This window comes from Homo sapiens, chromosome 12 (genome assembly GCF_000001405.40).
Source record: "Homo sapiens chromosome 12, GRCh38.p14 Primary Assembly".
Taxonomy (NCBI): domain Eukaryota; kingdom Metazoa; phylum Chordata; class Mammalia; order Primates; family Hominidae; genus Homo; species Homo sapiens.
This window is the reverse complement of record NC_000012.12, coordinates 18,766,803-18,783,541: the sequence shown is the minus strand read 5'-3', so window position 1 is coordinate 18,783,541 and position 16,739 is coordinate 18,766,803. Positions and strand designations below refer to the sequence as shown.

The 16,739-nt window shown below is 34.8% G+C and overlaps 1 long non-coding RNA gene across 3 annotated transcripts in view; it reads right to left on the bottom strand.

Moving 5' to 3' along the window:
- LOC102724227 (uncharacterized) overlaps positions 1-16,739 on the bottom strand; it is a 64,172-nt gene that overhangs the window by 33,790 nt on the left and 13,643 nt on the right. For all 3 annotated transcript variants that reach the window (XR_001749032.2, XR_429054.4, XR_931403.3), the window contains exon 2: positions 10,152-10,194. This is a non-coding gene — a long non-coding RNA (uncharacterized LOC102724227). The remainder of the gene's footprint in view (positions 1-10,151; positions 10,195-16,739) is intronic.

The window sequence follows — 16,739 nt, the reverse complement described above, 5'->3', positions numbered from 1 at the left end:
AAAGACATGACCGTGACACAGCCTCAGGAGGTCCTGATGACATATGCCCAAGGTGGTTGTGGTACAGCTTGATTTTATATATTTTGGGAGATGTGATATGTGTAATAGGTACATTGATTAATTAATACGTGTAATCAATTAATATGTGTAATCAATTAATATGTGTAATATGTAATATTACATGTTAATTAATCAATTAATATGTGTAATATGTAATATTACCTGTTAATTAATCAATTAATATGTGTAATATGTACATTGGTTCAATCTGGTAGGCGGGACAACTTGAAATGGGGGCTGCCAGGTCATAGGTAGATAAAAGACAGATGGTTGCATTCTTTTGAGTCTTTGATCAACTTTTCACTGAATATACAATTTATATGTGAGGGGTTGGGGTAGGAGATAGTCACTTCTGCCTTAATCTGCCTCAGAGAATCTCTATTTTTACATAAACAATTGGACAGAGGAAGAAATCAGATATGCAGTTGTCTCAGGCGAGCAGAAGGATGACTATCAGTGCTGTCCTTTGTCCTGAACCTGTTAAGATAAGCTATCAATTTATATTGCCAAGATAAAATTCAGCAGAACTGTTTTAGAGTGAAGATCTTAAGGTCCACAAGGAATTTTCTTGTCAGCAAATCGTGAGAAGGTATGTATATCTTTTACATTTGTAGCTTTCTTATTTAGGAATAAAGTGGGAGGCATGTTTGCCTGACATAGTTCCCAGCTGAAGTTTTCCCTTTGGCTTAATGATTTTGGGGTCCCAAGATTTATTTTCCTTTTACAGGACTTACTCCTGCCATTTTTTATTTGTTTTCTGGTTGTTTTGTGGTCTTTTTTTCCTTCTTTTTTTTTTTCTTCCTGTCTTCCTTTTAGTGAAGGTGATTTTCTCTGGTGGCATGATTCGTTTTCTTGGTTTTTATTTTTCATGTATCCAGTGTATTTTTTTGATTTGAGGTTAACATGAGGCTTACAAATCTTATCTTACAACCCATTATTTTAAGCTGATAACCACTTAACATTGTTTGCATAAATAAACAAGCAAGCAAAAAGAAAATTAATAAAAACTCTACACCTTAACTTGGTCTCCCTGCTTTTTAACTTTTTGTTGTTTCTATTTATACCTTATTGTACTGGCTGTATCTTGAAAAGTTTTTGTAGTTATTATTTTTGATGGGTTCATCATTTTATGTTTCTACTTAATATAAGGCTAGTTTACACACCACAGTTACAGTTTTATAATATTCTGTGATTACATGTGTATATATTATTAACAGTGAGTTTTGTGCCTTGAGGTAATTTATTAGTGCTCATTAACATCCTTTTCTTTCTGATTGAAGTACTCTCTTGAACATTTCTTGTAGGACAGGTCCAGTGTTGATAAAATCCCTCAACTTTTGTTTGTCTGTGAAAGTCTTTATTTTCCCTTCATATGTGAAGGATATTTCCACCAAACATAGTATTCTAGGGTAAAATTTTTTTTCCTGCAGCACTTTAAATGCCACCCTCTCTTGGCCCGTAAGGTTTCCACTGAAAAGTCTGCTGCCAGATATATTGGGTTCCATTGTATGTTATTTGTTTCTTTTCTCTTGATGCCTTTCAGATCCTTTATTTATCTTTGACTTTTGGGAGTTTGATCATTAAATGCCTTGAGATAGTCTTCTTTGGGTTAAATCTGCTTGGTGTTCTATACCCTTCTTATGTTTGGATATTGATATCTTTCTCTAGTCTTGAGAAGTTCTCTGTTATTATCCCTTTGAATAAACTTTCTAACTCTTTCTCTCTCTCTACCTCCTCTTTAAAGCCAGTAACTCTTAGATTTGCCCTTTTGAGGCTATTTTCTAGGTCCTGTAGGCATGCTTCCTTGTTTTTTATTCTTTTTTTTTTGTCTCCTCTGACTGTGTAGTTTTGTTTATATGTATTTTTTCTTTATTTCTTCTAAAATAAAACCAGGATACATGTGCAGAATGTGCAGGTTTGTTACATAGGTGTACACGTGCCATGCTGGTTTGCTGCACCTATTGACCCATCCTCTAATTTCCCTCCCCTCACCCCCCACACCTCAAAAGGCCCTAGTGTGTGTTGCTCCCCTCTCTGTGTCCATGTGTTCTGAACGTTCAGCTCCCACATGAGAACATGTGGTGTTTGGTTTTCTGTTTCTGTGTTAGTTTGCTGAGGATGATGGGTTCCAGCTTCATCCATGTCCCTACAAAGTACACGATAGCATTCTTTTTTATGGCTGTGTAGTAGTCCATGGTGTATATGTACCACATTTTCTTTATCCAGTCTATCATTGATGGTCATTTGGGTTGGTTCCATGTCTTTGCTATTGTAAATAGTGCTGTAATAAACATATACGTGTGTGTGTCTTTATAGTAGAATGATTTATAATCCTCTGGGTATATACCCAGTAATGAGATTGCTTGTTCAAATGGTATTTCTGGTTCTAGATCCTTGAGGAATCACCATACTGTCTTCCACAATGATTGTACTAATTTACATTCCCAAAAACAGTGTAAAAGTGTTCCTATTTCTCCACAGCCTTGCCAATATCTATTGTTTCCTGACTTTTTGACAATTGCCATACTTACTGGTGTGAGATGGTATCTCTTTGTGATTTTGATTTGCATTTCTCTGGTGGTCAGTGACATCGGGCTTTTTGTTATATGTTTGTTGGCTGTGTTAATGTCTTCTTTTGAGAAGTGTCTGTTCATATCCTTTGGCCACTTTTTGATGGGGTTGTTTGTCTTTTTCTTGTAAATATGTTTAAGTTCCTTGTCAATTCTGGACATTAGACATTTGTAAGATGGGTAGATTTCAAAAATTTTCTCCCATTCTGTAGGTTGCCTGTTCACTCTGATGATGGTTTCTTTTGCTGTTCAGAAGCTCTTTAGTTTAATTAGATCTCACTTGTCAATTATGACTTTTGTTGCAATTGCTTTTGGCGTTTTCCTCATGAAGTCTTTGCCCATGCCTATGTCCTGAATTATGGTATTGCCTAGGTTTTCTTCTAGGGCTTTTATGGCTTTGGGTTTTACATTTAAGTCTTTAATCCATATTGAGTTAATTTTTGTATAAGGTATAAGGAAGGGGTCCAGTTTCAATTTTCTGCATATGGCTATCCAGTTTTCCCAGCACCGTTTACTGAATAGGAGATCCTTTCCCCATTGCTTGTTTTTCTCAGGTTTGTTGGAGAACAGATGGTTGTAGATGTTTGGTGTTATTTCCATGGTCTCTGTTTTGCTCCACTGGTCTATATGTCTGTTTTGGTACCAGTACCATGTTGTTTTATTTGCTGTAGCCTTGTAATATAGTTTGAAGTCAGGTAGCGTGATGTCTCCAGCTTTGTTGTTTTTACTTAGGATTGTCTTGACTATATGGGGTCTTCTCTGATTCCACATGAAATTTAAAATAGTTTTTTCTAATTCTGTGAAGAATGTCAATGGTAGTTTGAGGGACTAGCACTGAACCTATAAATTACTTTGGGCAGTGTGGCCATTTTTGCAATGTTGATTCTTCCTATCCATGAGTATAGAATGTTTTTCCATTTGTTTGTGTCCTCTCTTATTTCCTTGAGCAGTGGTTTGTAATTCTGCTTGAAGAGGTCCTTCACATCCCTTGTTAGCTGTATTCCTAGGTATTTTATTCTCTTTGTAGTGATTGTGAATGGGAGTTCATTCATGATTTGGCTCTCTGCTTACCTATTGGGGTAAAGGAATGCTTGTGATTTTTGCACATACTGATTTTGTATCCTGAGACTTTGCTGAAGTTGCTTATCAGTTCAAGAAGTGTTTGGGCTGAGATGATGGGCTTTTCTAAATATAAAACCATGTCATCTGCAAACAGAGACATCTTGACTTTCTCTCTTCTTATTGAATACACAGTCAGAGGAGACAAAAGAAAAAAAAAAAAAAACAAGGAAGCATGCCTACAGAACCTAGAAAATAGCCTCAAAAGGGCAAATCTAAGAGTTATTGGCTTTAAAGAGGAGGTAGAGAGAGAGAGTTAGAAAGTTTATTCAAAGGGATAATAACAGAGAACTTCTCAAGACTAGAGAAAGATATCAATATCCAAATATAAGAAGGGTATAGAACACCAAGCAGATTTAACCCAAAGAAGACTATCTCAAGACATTTAATGATCAAACTCCCAAAAGTCAAAGATAAATAAAGGATCTGAAAGGCATCAAGAGATTGCCCTGGTCAGAACTTCCAATACTATGTTGAATAGGAGTGGCGAGAGAGGGCATCCTTGTCTTGTACCAGTTTTCAGAGGGAATACTTCCAGCTTTTGCCCATTCCATATGATATTGGTGGTGGATTTTTCATAAATGGCTCTTACTATTATGAGATATGTTCCATCAATACCTAGTTTATTGAGAGTTTTTAACTTGAAGGGATGTTGAATTTTATTAAAGGGCTTTTCTGCATCTATTGAGATAATCATGTAGTTTTTGTCTTTGGCTCTGTTTATGTAATGGACTATGTTTATTGATTTATATATGTTGAACCAGCTTTTCATCCCAGGGATGAAGGTGACTTGATCATGGTGGATAAATTTTTTGATGTGCTGCGGGATTTGTTTTGCCAGTATTTTATTGAAGATTTTTGCATTAATGTTCATTAGGGATATTGGCCTGAAGTTTTCTCTTTTTGTTTTGTCTCCTCCTGGTTTTGGTATCAGGTTGATGCTGGCTTCATAAAATGAGTCAGGCAGGAGTCCTTCCTTTTCAATTGTTTGGAATAGTTTCAGAAGGAATGGTATCAGCCCCTCTTTGTATTTCTGGTAGAATTCAGCTGTGAATCCATCTGGTCCTGGACTTTTTTTTGTGAAGCTCTTAATTACTGCCTGATTTTCAGAGCTTGTTATTGGTCTATTCAGGGATTCACCTTATTCCTGGATTAGTCTTGGTAGGGTGTATGTGTCCAGAAATTTATTAATTTCTGCTTCAATTTCAGACCTTGTTATTGGTCTATTTAGGTATTTGACTTATTCTTGCTTTAGTCTTGGAAGGGTGTATGTGTCCAGGAATTTATCATTTTCTTCTAGATTTTCTAGTTTATTTGCATAGAGGTCTTTATAGTATTCTCTGATGGTAGTTTGTATTTCTGTGGGGTCAGGGGTGATATCACCTTTTTTATTGTGTCTATTAAATTTTTATCTCTTTTCTTCTTTATTAGTCTAGCTAGTGCTCTATTTTGTTAATTTTTTCAAAAAACCAGCTCCTGGATTCATTGATCTTTTTTTTTTTTTTTCCTTTGGAGGTTCTTTGTGTCTCTATTTTCTTCAATACTGCTCTGATCTTAGTTATTTCTTATCTTCTGCTGGGTTTTGGAATACATTGCTCTTGCTTCTCTAATGCTTTTAATTGTGTTGTTAAGGTGTCAGTTTGAGATCCTTCTAGCTTTCTGATATGGGCATTTAGTGCTATAAATTTCCCTCTTAACACTGCTTTAGCTGTGTCCCAGAGATTCTGGTACATTGTCTTTTTGTTCTCATTGGTTTCAAAGAACTTCCTTATTTCTGCCTTAATTTCATTATTTACCCAGGAGTCATTCAGCAGCAGGTTGTTCAGTTTCCATGTAATTGTGTGGTTTTGAGTGAGTTTCTTAATCCTGAGTTCTAATTTGATTGCACTGTGGTCTGAGAGACTGTTATGATTTCAGTTCTTTTTCATTTGCTGAGGAGTGTTTTACTTCCAATTATGTGGTTGATTTTAGAATAAGGGCCAAGTGGCACTGAGAAGAATGTACATTCTGTTGATTTGGGATAGAGACTTCGGTAGATGTCTACTAGGTCCACTTGATCTAGAGCTGAGTTCAAGTCCTGAATAACCTTGTTAATTTTCTGTCTCATTGATCTGTCTAATATTGACAGTGGGGTGTTAAAGTCTCCCACTATTATTTTGTCTGACTGTTGTCAGTGTTCCCTCGAGGCCCAAGGGCTCTTCATTCAGCTTGTGGTAAATGTTGCCTGGCCTGGGTCTAACCCTTCAGGGAAGTGGGCTCGTCTCTGGCCCAGGGCAGGTTCTGAAATGCCCTCCATGAGCCAAATCCTGGAATTAGAGACCCCAGGATCCCACTTGGTTCTCCATTCCTCTTTGGCCAAGCTGCTACCTAAGGTGCAAGACAAAGTCCACTTGGCCTTTTTGTCCACTTTTCTCAAGAAGCAGGGGTCTCTCCCCATAGACACCATAGCTGGGAATGTGCTGAGTCTTACCTGAAACCAGCAAGTTTCAGAGTCTCACCCAAGCTCCATGGTGTGCTACCTTGGTATTGCTGCTGGTTTTTCAGAACCAAAGGGCTCTTTAGTCAGCAGATGATGGGTCCTACAGGACTGGCTCCTTCCCTTCAAGGAAGTACGTTCTCTTTTGTCCCAGGGCAGGCATGGTGATGTCATCTGGGAGCAAGGGCCTAGAGAAGTGGCTTCACTACTCTGACTGGTGCCCTTATCCTACTGTGGCTGGGCTAGTATTCAAGACAGAGTCCTCTTTACTCTTCCCTTTCCTCCTCTCAAGCGAAAGAGGGTGTCTTTTCAATTCACGAGCTGTGCAGCCTGGGGTTGGAGAGAGGTGGCACAAGCACTCTCTTAGCTGCCCTGGCTGATGTCTCACTAGGTCATGTGCTCCCCAAGTCCACTGGTACCAAGCCCAGCACAGCATTAGGTCTTGCCTAGGAATTGCAGTCTTTGTGGCCTAGGCAGCCTTTGCCTTTCAAGTTTATTTAGAACCCCAGAACACTTTAGCCCATGGCAGCAAGGCTTGCTGAAAGTCAAGTTCTGACTGCTGGGATGGGCAATTCCCCTCTGGATAGGGCTGGCTTAAATACTTCCTCCATCAATGGGCATCAGCTGAGTTCAGCCCAGTTTTGCTCACTGCTATGACAGAGTAGCACTAAGTTCAATGCAGTGTCTCACAATTGCTACACTTTTCCTTTCCCAAAAGCACAGATTCTCTTTCTGTGTCAGGCAGCTGCTGCCAGGGATGGCGCAGGGGTGGTGTGGAAGATTCAAGACTGTCTTTTCTCCCCTCTTCAGTGCATCTTTCAATGACATGAAGTTAAAACCAGGTATTATGAGTGCTCACCTGATTTTTGGTTGTTATGAAGGTGTTTTCTTAAAAAATGTAGATATGTTGTTAAATTGGTGTTCCTTCCAGGGAAACAACTGGTGGAAACTTCTATTCAGCCCTCTTGCTCCACCTCTCCTATACATTGTTTTAAGCAGTGAGTTTATGGTACTTTGTTATAGCAGCAATAGGAAACTAATACGCTAAGGAAACTGCACTCCCAACTGGGAGAGAGTGCTGCCTTATTCCTACTTTGACAGCCTTCTCTGTGCAGTCAATATATTTGCCACTGTAGGCACTTGATATAAAGTTAACTGTGCCTTTTGAGGTCTTTCTGTCCTTTACTGTTCCATTGTAACACCCATCGTAGGTAAAGTGATAACAAACTCTGCTCTGTGATCTCAAAAGAATGAACAGAGAGTGGGCCTTAACTTTTAGGTTGCTAATATTTCTGGATATTAAGTGTAACTCTTACAAGCAACAGCGTGTTAAAATTATTTTAAAATTTAATTAAGGACAGTTTCTTTTTACAGGAAAATTTTGCCTCCTTACTTATAGTTTTTTTTATTTCCTTGCTCCAATTGCATTTTCATTATTGGTTCTGTTCATATGTTGAAATTTAATAATGCCATTCATTCTTTTCCCTTTTCATTTACATCGTATCTCCACAGATGCTAAACTTTCCAAACAATGCATTCAGTTTACATCATGATGAGGGATTTCAAAGTTAGATGTTTTTCTTAGAATATGCATCTCTCTTTCCAAATTTCCCATTGAAATAAATAATTAAGAGAAAAGCTCAGATTACATACAAGGAGATAAAAATTAAAGTGTCCTCAGAATTGTTTTCTTTTCCAGTGAATATTATAAGAATTCAGAAATGACAGAGTTCTAGGGGAAATTATTTGAAAAGAATAGGACTGTAACCATACAAATTTTCTGTGAGGACACAGAAAGTGCTTCTTAGATATAAAAGAAAACTGGAAAAATGAGTCAAAGATAAGAATGCAGTAATGATGAAATAGCAATTGGAGAAAACTAGTGGTGATTACTAAACTCAATTCATTTCTTCATTTACTCAAAAAATATTTATTTAATGACTCTTAGGCCTTGATCACTGTTCTAGGTGCTAGGGATATAGTTGTAAGCAGATCTTCTCCATAAAGTTTAAATTCTAGTGGAGGAGAAGATGAAAAAGCAAAATGAATAAATGTAATATATACTGTGCTGGATGATGATACATATGATTAAAATAACTAAATCCAAGAGGGGGATACAATGGGAGTTTATGGAGTATTGTATTTAAAATATGATAGTCAGGGCTGAGAAGACGATACCTGAGTAAATGTATGAAGTAGGTGCTAAACTAAGGAATGTTTTAATAATTTTTTAAATACACTAAATTATATACAGTGTTTTTCTTTTAAAGTTATATTTTAAATTTATAATAAAATAGAAATTATACATTGTTAAATTTCAGGGAAGACTTTAGTGTAGAAGTTAAATATATGAGCTCTGGCTCCAAAGTTTCTGGGTTTAAAGTTCAGCTCTACCATATACTAAGTTTTATGACCATGGTTGAGTTAAACTCTCAGCAACTCAATTTCCCTACTTGTAACTGGAAACAAGAATAACAGCTGTTTCGTAGAGTTGTAGTTAGGGTAAAATGAGTTAACATATAAAGTGCTTAAAACTGACTGGCACATAGTAAGTACTCAATAAATATTAGGTATTACTATGGCTATTCTTGTTATTATAATATTAAATCTACAAGGATCAGAAGGAGAAACATGGACCCAATAGGAACCCCTACTTTTCAAAAAGATAGGTAAAATAATACTGTTCAGTTATTGAATTAATTTAATATGGGTCATTGCCAAACTACCAGATTCACTAGTAGGAACAAATGTGTTTCTTTCTCTTTATAATTTTTGCAGAGAATAATAGCAGAATAATAAAGAAAATCAAGAATAGAATGCATAGAATAAAGTTGACTGAAACAAAAGCAAACTCAACAATTAATGATATTTAATGTAAACAGGCCAAATCTCCATATGAACAAATAAATCACCATCTAACCAGTTTTTTTTTAAACAAAGGAATATTCTTCACACAAAAGTACACCATTGTAAAATGAAACAGGAAAAAAGAGATGTATTAGGAAAGATTTCAAAAATTTAAAAAAGCAAGAATGACATTATTCATATCAAACAGGTATAAATTAAGACAAAACCTTCAGAATAGGACAGTTATTTCATAATGTTAATAACTACCATACACAACTAAGATGAAAAAAATCCTGAAATAATATTATAATTTATAAACCAAGACCTGTTAGAATTAAAAATTGAAATCCACAAATAATATAGTGGGATATTTTAATACTCCTTTATATATTCATGTTGGAGCAAGAAGACAAAACATATATAATATTTGAATAATATGATTAATAATTGAACTAATAGTTTGGTATCTGACATTGTAATCCATGCAGAGAAAATATTTTTTTATTTTTAAATGATAAAGGAACATTTATTCAAATAAAACTTTGACTAGGCCAAAAAATTTCAACATACTTCACAAGTAGAATTTCAATATACTTCACAAGTATACAGAGATTGTTACAATCAATGTGAAATGCACTTTGGCCATATCTTGCCGAGTTAAAGATATGGATAACCCATCACTGATGGTTGCAGTCCTAGGTACCCTATAGAAATTTTTCCTCATGTGCATAAGAAGATCATGCAAGAATGTTTGTTGCACCACCATTCATAATTGCAAAAAACTGGAGAGGCCTTAACTGTCTATCTAAAGAAGAATAGAAGCATGAATTTTGGAGTATATATGCAATTAAAAACTCTATAGCAGTTCAAATGAATAAACTATGAGTACATACAACAGTGGATGGATCTAAAAAATATAAAATTTAGCCAAAAAGAGCAAGTTTTAAAATTATACAGTGTGATTCTATTTATATAAATCTAAAAACATACAACAATACATTTTGCTAATGGATATATATGGGAACAATACCACATTAAGTAATGAAAATAATAACTACTAAGTGCAATATGGAACTTACCTTTTGTGAGTTAGAAACCCTATGGGTCAGATTCTTTGGTTACCTAAAACATAACAAGAATTAATTTTAAAATTTTAATAACATTTTTTCAATCATTTGTATACTTAAAACATCCCCACAGATTACCATAGGATCAAACAACAAAAAACAGTCAACAGCTTACCAAAGAAAAAAAAGAAATATGAATATCAAAACTTACATGATTTGGCCAAAGATAAACTTATTCACAAGTAAATATGTATTTTTTAAGTTTTTACTTTTATTTTAGATACAGGGGATACATGTGCACCTATGTTTTACATGGAAATATTGTCTGATGAGGTTTGGGGTATGGATCCCATCACCCAGTGATGCATAGTATCTGATAGGTAGTTTTTTGATCCTCTTCCTCTTTCCACCCTCTACCCTCAAGCAGGCCCTGGTGTTTGTTGGTCTCTTCTTTGTGTCCACGTGTACTCAATGCTTAGCTCCTACTTATAAGGGAGAAAATGTAAAATTTGGTTTTCTCTTCCTGCATTAGTTTGCTTAGGATTATAGCCTCCAGCTCCATCCATGTTGCTACAAAGGACATCATTTTGCTCTCTTTTTTATGGCTGTGTAAAATTCCATGTTGTTTATATGTACCACATTTTCTTTAGCCAATCTGCCATTGATGGGCACCTGAGTTGACTACATGTCTTTGCTACTGTGAATAGCGCAGGGATGAACATACAAATACATGTGAGAAAACTCCAGACTGCTTTCCACAGTGGGTGGACTAATTTACATTCCTACCAACAGTGTATAAACATTCACTTTTCTCTGCAGCTTTGCCAGCATCTGTTTTGTTTTTTTTTTTGACTTTTTGATAATAGCCATTCTGATTAGCGTGAAATGGTATCTCACTGTGGTTTCAATTTGCATTTCTTTGATGATTAGTGATGGTGAGTGTTTTTTCATGTTTGTTGGCTGCTTGTATGCTTTCTTTTGAGAAGTGTCTGTTCATGTCCTTTGCTCTTCTTTTAATGGGGTTGTTTTTCACTCATTGATTTAAGTTCCCTATAGATTCTGGATATTAGGACTTTGTCCGATACGTAGCTTGTGATGTCTTTTCTCATTCTGTAGGTTGTCTGTTTACTCTGTTGATAGTTTCTTTTGCTGTGCAGAAGCTCTTTAGTTTAATTGGGTCCTATTTGTCTAGTTTTGTTTTTGTTGCGATTGCTTTTGGGGACTTAGCTAAAAATTCTTTGCCAAGGTCAATATCAAGAAGAATATTTTCTAGGTTATCTTCAGTGTTGTTACTATTCCTGTCAAACTACCAACATCATTCTTCACGGTATTAGAAAAAGCTATTCTAAAATTCATATGGAATCCGAAAAGAATGCAAATAGCTAAAGCAATCTTATGCAAAAAACAGAACAAAGAAAACAAAAGAAAACAAAACCCCCCCCAAAAAAAAAGCTAGAGGCATAACACTACCCAACTTCAAAATATACTGTAAAAATATAGTAATCAAAACAGCATGGTACTGGTACAAAATCAGACACATAGACCAAAGGAACAGAAAAGAAAACTCAGAAATATCTCCACACACATAACAACCATCTGATCTTTGACAGGACCAACACAAACAAGCAATGGGGAGAAGACTTCTTATTTAATAAATAATGCTGGGATAACTGGCTAGCCATATGCAGATGATTGAAGCTGGACCTCTACCTTTCAACATATATAAAAATTAACTTAAAATGAATCAAAGATTTAAATATAAGTAAACATTTTTATATTCTTTATACATTAATAAAAGAGAAAATTAATTAATCAAGCATTCAATGTAAAAAGATAGAAATAAAACAAAAATGTTAAATTTAAGGAATCTGAGTGAAAAGAAATAACACATACACACCAACACATGCACACACATATATAAATTAGACTTAAAATGAGATAAAATTTAAAAAGTCACAGATTGATATAGACAAGAATTAGTTTTTTTTAAAAAAGCCAAACTAATGGAAAATCTAAAAAGGAATATACACACCATTTGAAATGAGAAAGAGGATTTAACAATGAACAAAGAATAAATTAAACTCATAAGAGATTTGATGCACATTAAAGCCTACAACTTGAACATTTCAATGACATGAATAACTTGTCTGATGAAAGAAGTATTAAAATTGACTCAAGAGGTAGAAAACCTTTCTAATGTAATCGTTGGGAAAAAAATTTAAAAACATGCCAATTATCTAAAAACACATGCTCCAGAGTCACAAAGTGCTTGAAAATTATGCATTTAAATATTTCAGGAATAGTTCATTTCAACAGTATATACTTTGCTCAGAACATTAAAAACATGTATGTGCTTGTGTCATTCATGTTCCCCTCTAGATCCACTCCACCTTTCCCCTCACTGCCCTCATACCCAGATGTACTACTTTGAAGGACTCCCTGCACTCTGTTTTGGACTGGTTTCAGCCAAATGGGAAACCCAGCAGCAGGTTTAAGGGAGGAAAGAAAGTAAACTTGCAGTATTTATATCTTTAGCTCGTTTTCTGAGGAGTTACCTTAGGCTGTTTGAGACCCCTACTAAAGATTATAGGTTTTTGCAAGTTGGCCATTTTAATATTATCCTCTCATTCTGAGTTTGGTAACTATTTCTCCCTTTACCCCTTCAGACCTAGGTGTGTTAACCACCCTAAGATACTATAGTGTAGCTGGTGGTTAATCTACACTCCCTGCATACCTCTTTGTACATGGTAAATTTATTAATCTTTCCTGAAATTATCTTAATTTGACTATAATATTTGTTTCTTTCTGGTACACTGATTTATACAATAAGCAAATCATTGAATGAAGTATCACATATGATACCAAAACCTGAAAAGATGGTGCATAAAAGAATTACAAATTTCATGTTTTATTAAAAATAAAATTCTAAATAAAATATTAACAAATAGATATACTCCACCATCGACAAGTAATTTGCATTAAAAAATGCAAGGATGGTTCGAAATGAATGCACTTACTTTATATCAATAGATTAAATAAAAAATACTTTTAATAGGTACTGAAACATATTTAATAAAATGTAATATATTTCTGGTTAAAAAATCAATTACTTAAAAAAATAAATAAAAATTGTTTGAAACTAAGAGGTGCCTTATCCTTAATGATTGAACAAAAGACCTTTCATTGTCATTAAATTATTATTTACACCATATTATACAGTGTATATATTATACTATGTTAACTACTGTTACAGTATTCTAGAAGGTCAATGTAATTAAACATGGAACAATAAAAGCTAGAGTGTTTTGAAAACAATGAGACAAACTATTATTATTGCAGATAATGTAATATTTCAAATGTAGGTAGCCTAGAATTAAGCAACCTCATTAAACTGGCTGAATTCAAGAAAATGATACAAAATTGACCATTATTATCAGTATAGTGCCCAATTAGATAAAACAACAGGGCAATCTCATTCACAGTTGCTACAGAAAAAAAATCATAAAATATTTAGGAATCAACTCATGAAATGTAAAGAAATATAAGAAAACCTGTCACATTTTACTTATCCATATGAAGGGGTTCTTGAATGGATGGAGAGGTGTATTGTAGTAATTGATGAGAAGGTAGTATATCATGATAATTAAGATCATGGGCTTGGAATCAAACTGACCCAGGCTAGGATTCTTGCCCCTCTACTCAGTAGCTGCTTAAAGTTCCTAAGACTCAATTTTACTATCCGTATGTTAGGGATACAATGGTATTTCCCACAGGTCTTGTGAATACATTGTCACTTGTTTTGGTAAAGTTCTTAGCACAATGTCTTGAAAATTATAAGGGTTCAAAAATGTTGGAATGAACAATTTTCCTCAAATTAATTGATAGGTTTAACACAATTCTGATCAAATTGAAAAATATTTTTTTAGGGGGAACTTGACAAAAATTCTCAAGTAAATCTAGTGGAAAATAACCACACAGAAATAGCAAAGAACTTTTTGACAAAAAAGCAGTTATTACAGTGTCCTAACAGCACACCTTTGAAAATATGTGATAAGGATTTAAGGAAAGAAAATTAAAAAATGGAATGAAACACAAGTGTATGTAATGAAACAGATACAAGTATATTTATCATATATACATCATAAGGAAAATCTGTACAACAATGATATAGGCAAGGATATTCACCCAGATGACATTGGCATTCTTAGTGGAGGAGAAAAAATCAGTTTGATTTCAGTTTTACACAAATTGGCAAAATAACATCAAGATAGTTAAAAGTTTAAGGATATGTCATCACACTATCAAATTGCAGGGGAAAATGTGTATAATTTGATTAAATTCCTTACCGAAATATATCTTGCTGTATGTTGTTAAGTGTTCTTTGATCTTATTAAAAGATTATTCGGGTTCTCTAAAGCTTTAAATAATCTTTTTCTATCTTTTCTGAGCAAATTTGCTTGCCTGGGCCCTTCTTGTTATTGCATTTCTTTCTTTTTTTTTTTTTTTTTTTTTTTAAAGATTTGGATGTATTTATCTTCAAATTTGCTACAACGGCTGCATGGTTATATGTAAAGTCATTATTATTTTATGTTTTAGAATAATTTTCTTCATTCTTCCTGGTAGTTAGTAATACCCTGGCCTTGACTTACATTAGAATATTGACATCAGGGCTTACAAAGTTTGTTCTCACCAAGAGGTGAGTTTCCGTATTCAGATGATTTCTCCACCACTTCCCTGTCACACAGATTTCATAATTTGACTTTATAACTGGTTGTGTTCCATTTTGATAGTTAAAGATAATATTTTTTTCCCACAAAGAAGTTATTTCACAAGTAGTAAACAGGAGGGGTTTTCTTCCTTTAAGAAAATAACCTGCTATTTCTATCCTGCAAGCTGCTTGGATCAACTGTGCTTTATAGTAGGATAACTGGGACTCCCTACAGAACTTTGTTATGATGATATAGTTCACTTCTCTAACCAGAATGCTGTACTTCACTCTCATTATGGTTTTATTTTCCTGACTCTGAGGTGGCATTTCATAGCATTTGTCCTTTTAATTCCTAAAGTAGCAGAAGTTTGGAGACAGCCGTGAGAGTAGCATCTGACACTTGCACTTCTACCATGAAATGACTGAAAAGATAACTATGTACCTAGAACAAATGAGGCATGGTCTCACGGTGCTTAGAAAGGGTCCAAGTACAGCAGGTTGTGTTAGGTAGAATCCTGGGTACTTTAGGAAACTTGTAAAATTGGAATGTAAGTAGAAGAGATGAGGATGTTGAGGTTTCTAGAGAGCATAGCAGTTAAGTGTACATGAAGGAACTAGAGAAGTACAGCCTAGAAAATGGAGGGCTTGGGTGGTAGAACTATAAGGCAGTGATATTATCAAACGGTATACTGAAGACAACCCTGGACTTGAAATGACTTGGTTTCCATAGGGCTTTGCCAAGGAGTTACACTGTGGCCCTGGGAAAAGCATTAACCTTTCAGAGCCTCAGCATCTTCTGTAAATTAGGGAAATTAGATGAGATCACCTCTGCATTTTTATAATACCATGATTTCAGTATCTTTTTGTGATACTGGAATATAGCTATGATTTTTCAAAATCACTTTTAGAAGTGTAATTCTTTCTTTTTAAACAATGCTTTACTGGGAGCTTCATTGTATAAAAAAGATAAAAACAGAGTTTCTCTGGTTGAAACAATGACAAAGAACTAGAGCCCTACTCACAGGGTTTACTTTCCACATGGCATCAGCTCCTGTCTCCCCTCTTGAGTAGCAGTGTAGACGCTTCTGCAGAACTCTGTGGGAAACATAGTCTGAAAACACTGAGAAAGTGGACCGGAAAGGAATATGGACTTTATAGGCTGAACTTTATGAAATGGTTGATTCTGAAGCTCAACAGTGTAGTGCACTTCATCCTAATAATGCGCTGAGTAGGATTAGAGCCTCCCTCTTCCTGTCCCTCATATCTTTCCCTTAAATGAATTTAGAATTTGAGACCTACACAGTGTTTTTTTTTTTGTGGGAATACAGATTTCCAGAAACTTCATATCCCTCATCATAATGTCCTACTCCCACTTCAAGTGGGAAAAATTCACCTTGCTGTATTTATAATTGTTAGTCTGCTATAATGTTCATAACTATAATAGTTTTCTTTAGTTGGCTTTTAATAAATTAGCAGTAAAATGTTTGCACTATAAAAAGTATCTTAAACCCTTAAGGAATATTTTTCATGGTTTCATGAATACAGAAAATGATCTTTATAAAATTTACTACTAATAAAATATCTGTTATATACATTTTGCTTTGTACATAATGTATACAGTTTCAAAGTAAGATATTTGCAATTAAAGCATATCTCAAGAAACTTCAAAAACACTGATTTTTATTTTATTTTATTTTTATTATACTTTAAGTTCTGGGGTACATGTGCAGAATGTGCAGGTTTATTACATAGGTATACACGTGCCATGGTGGTTTGCTGCACCCATCAACCCATGATCTACATTAGGTATTTCTCCTAATGCTAAATGCTATCCCTCCTCTAGCCCCCCACCCCCCACCAGGCCGCAGTGTGTGATGTTCACCTCCCTGTGT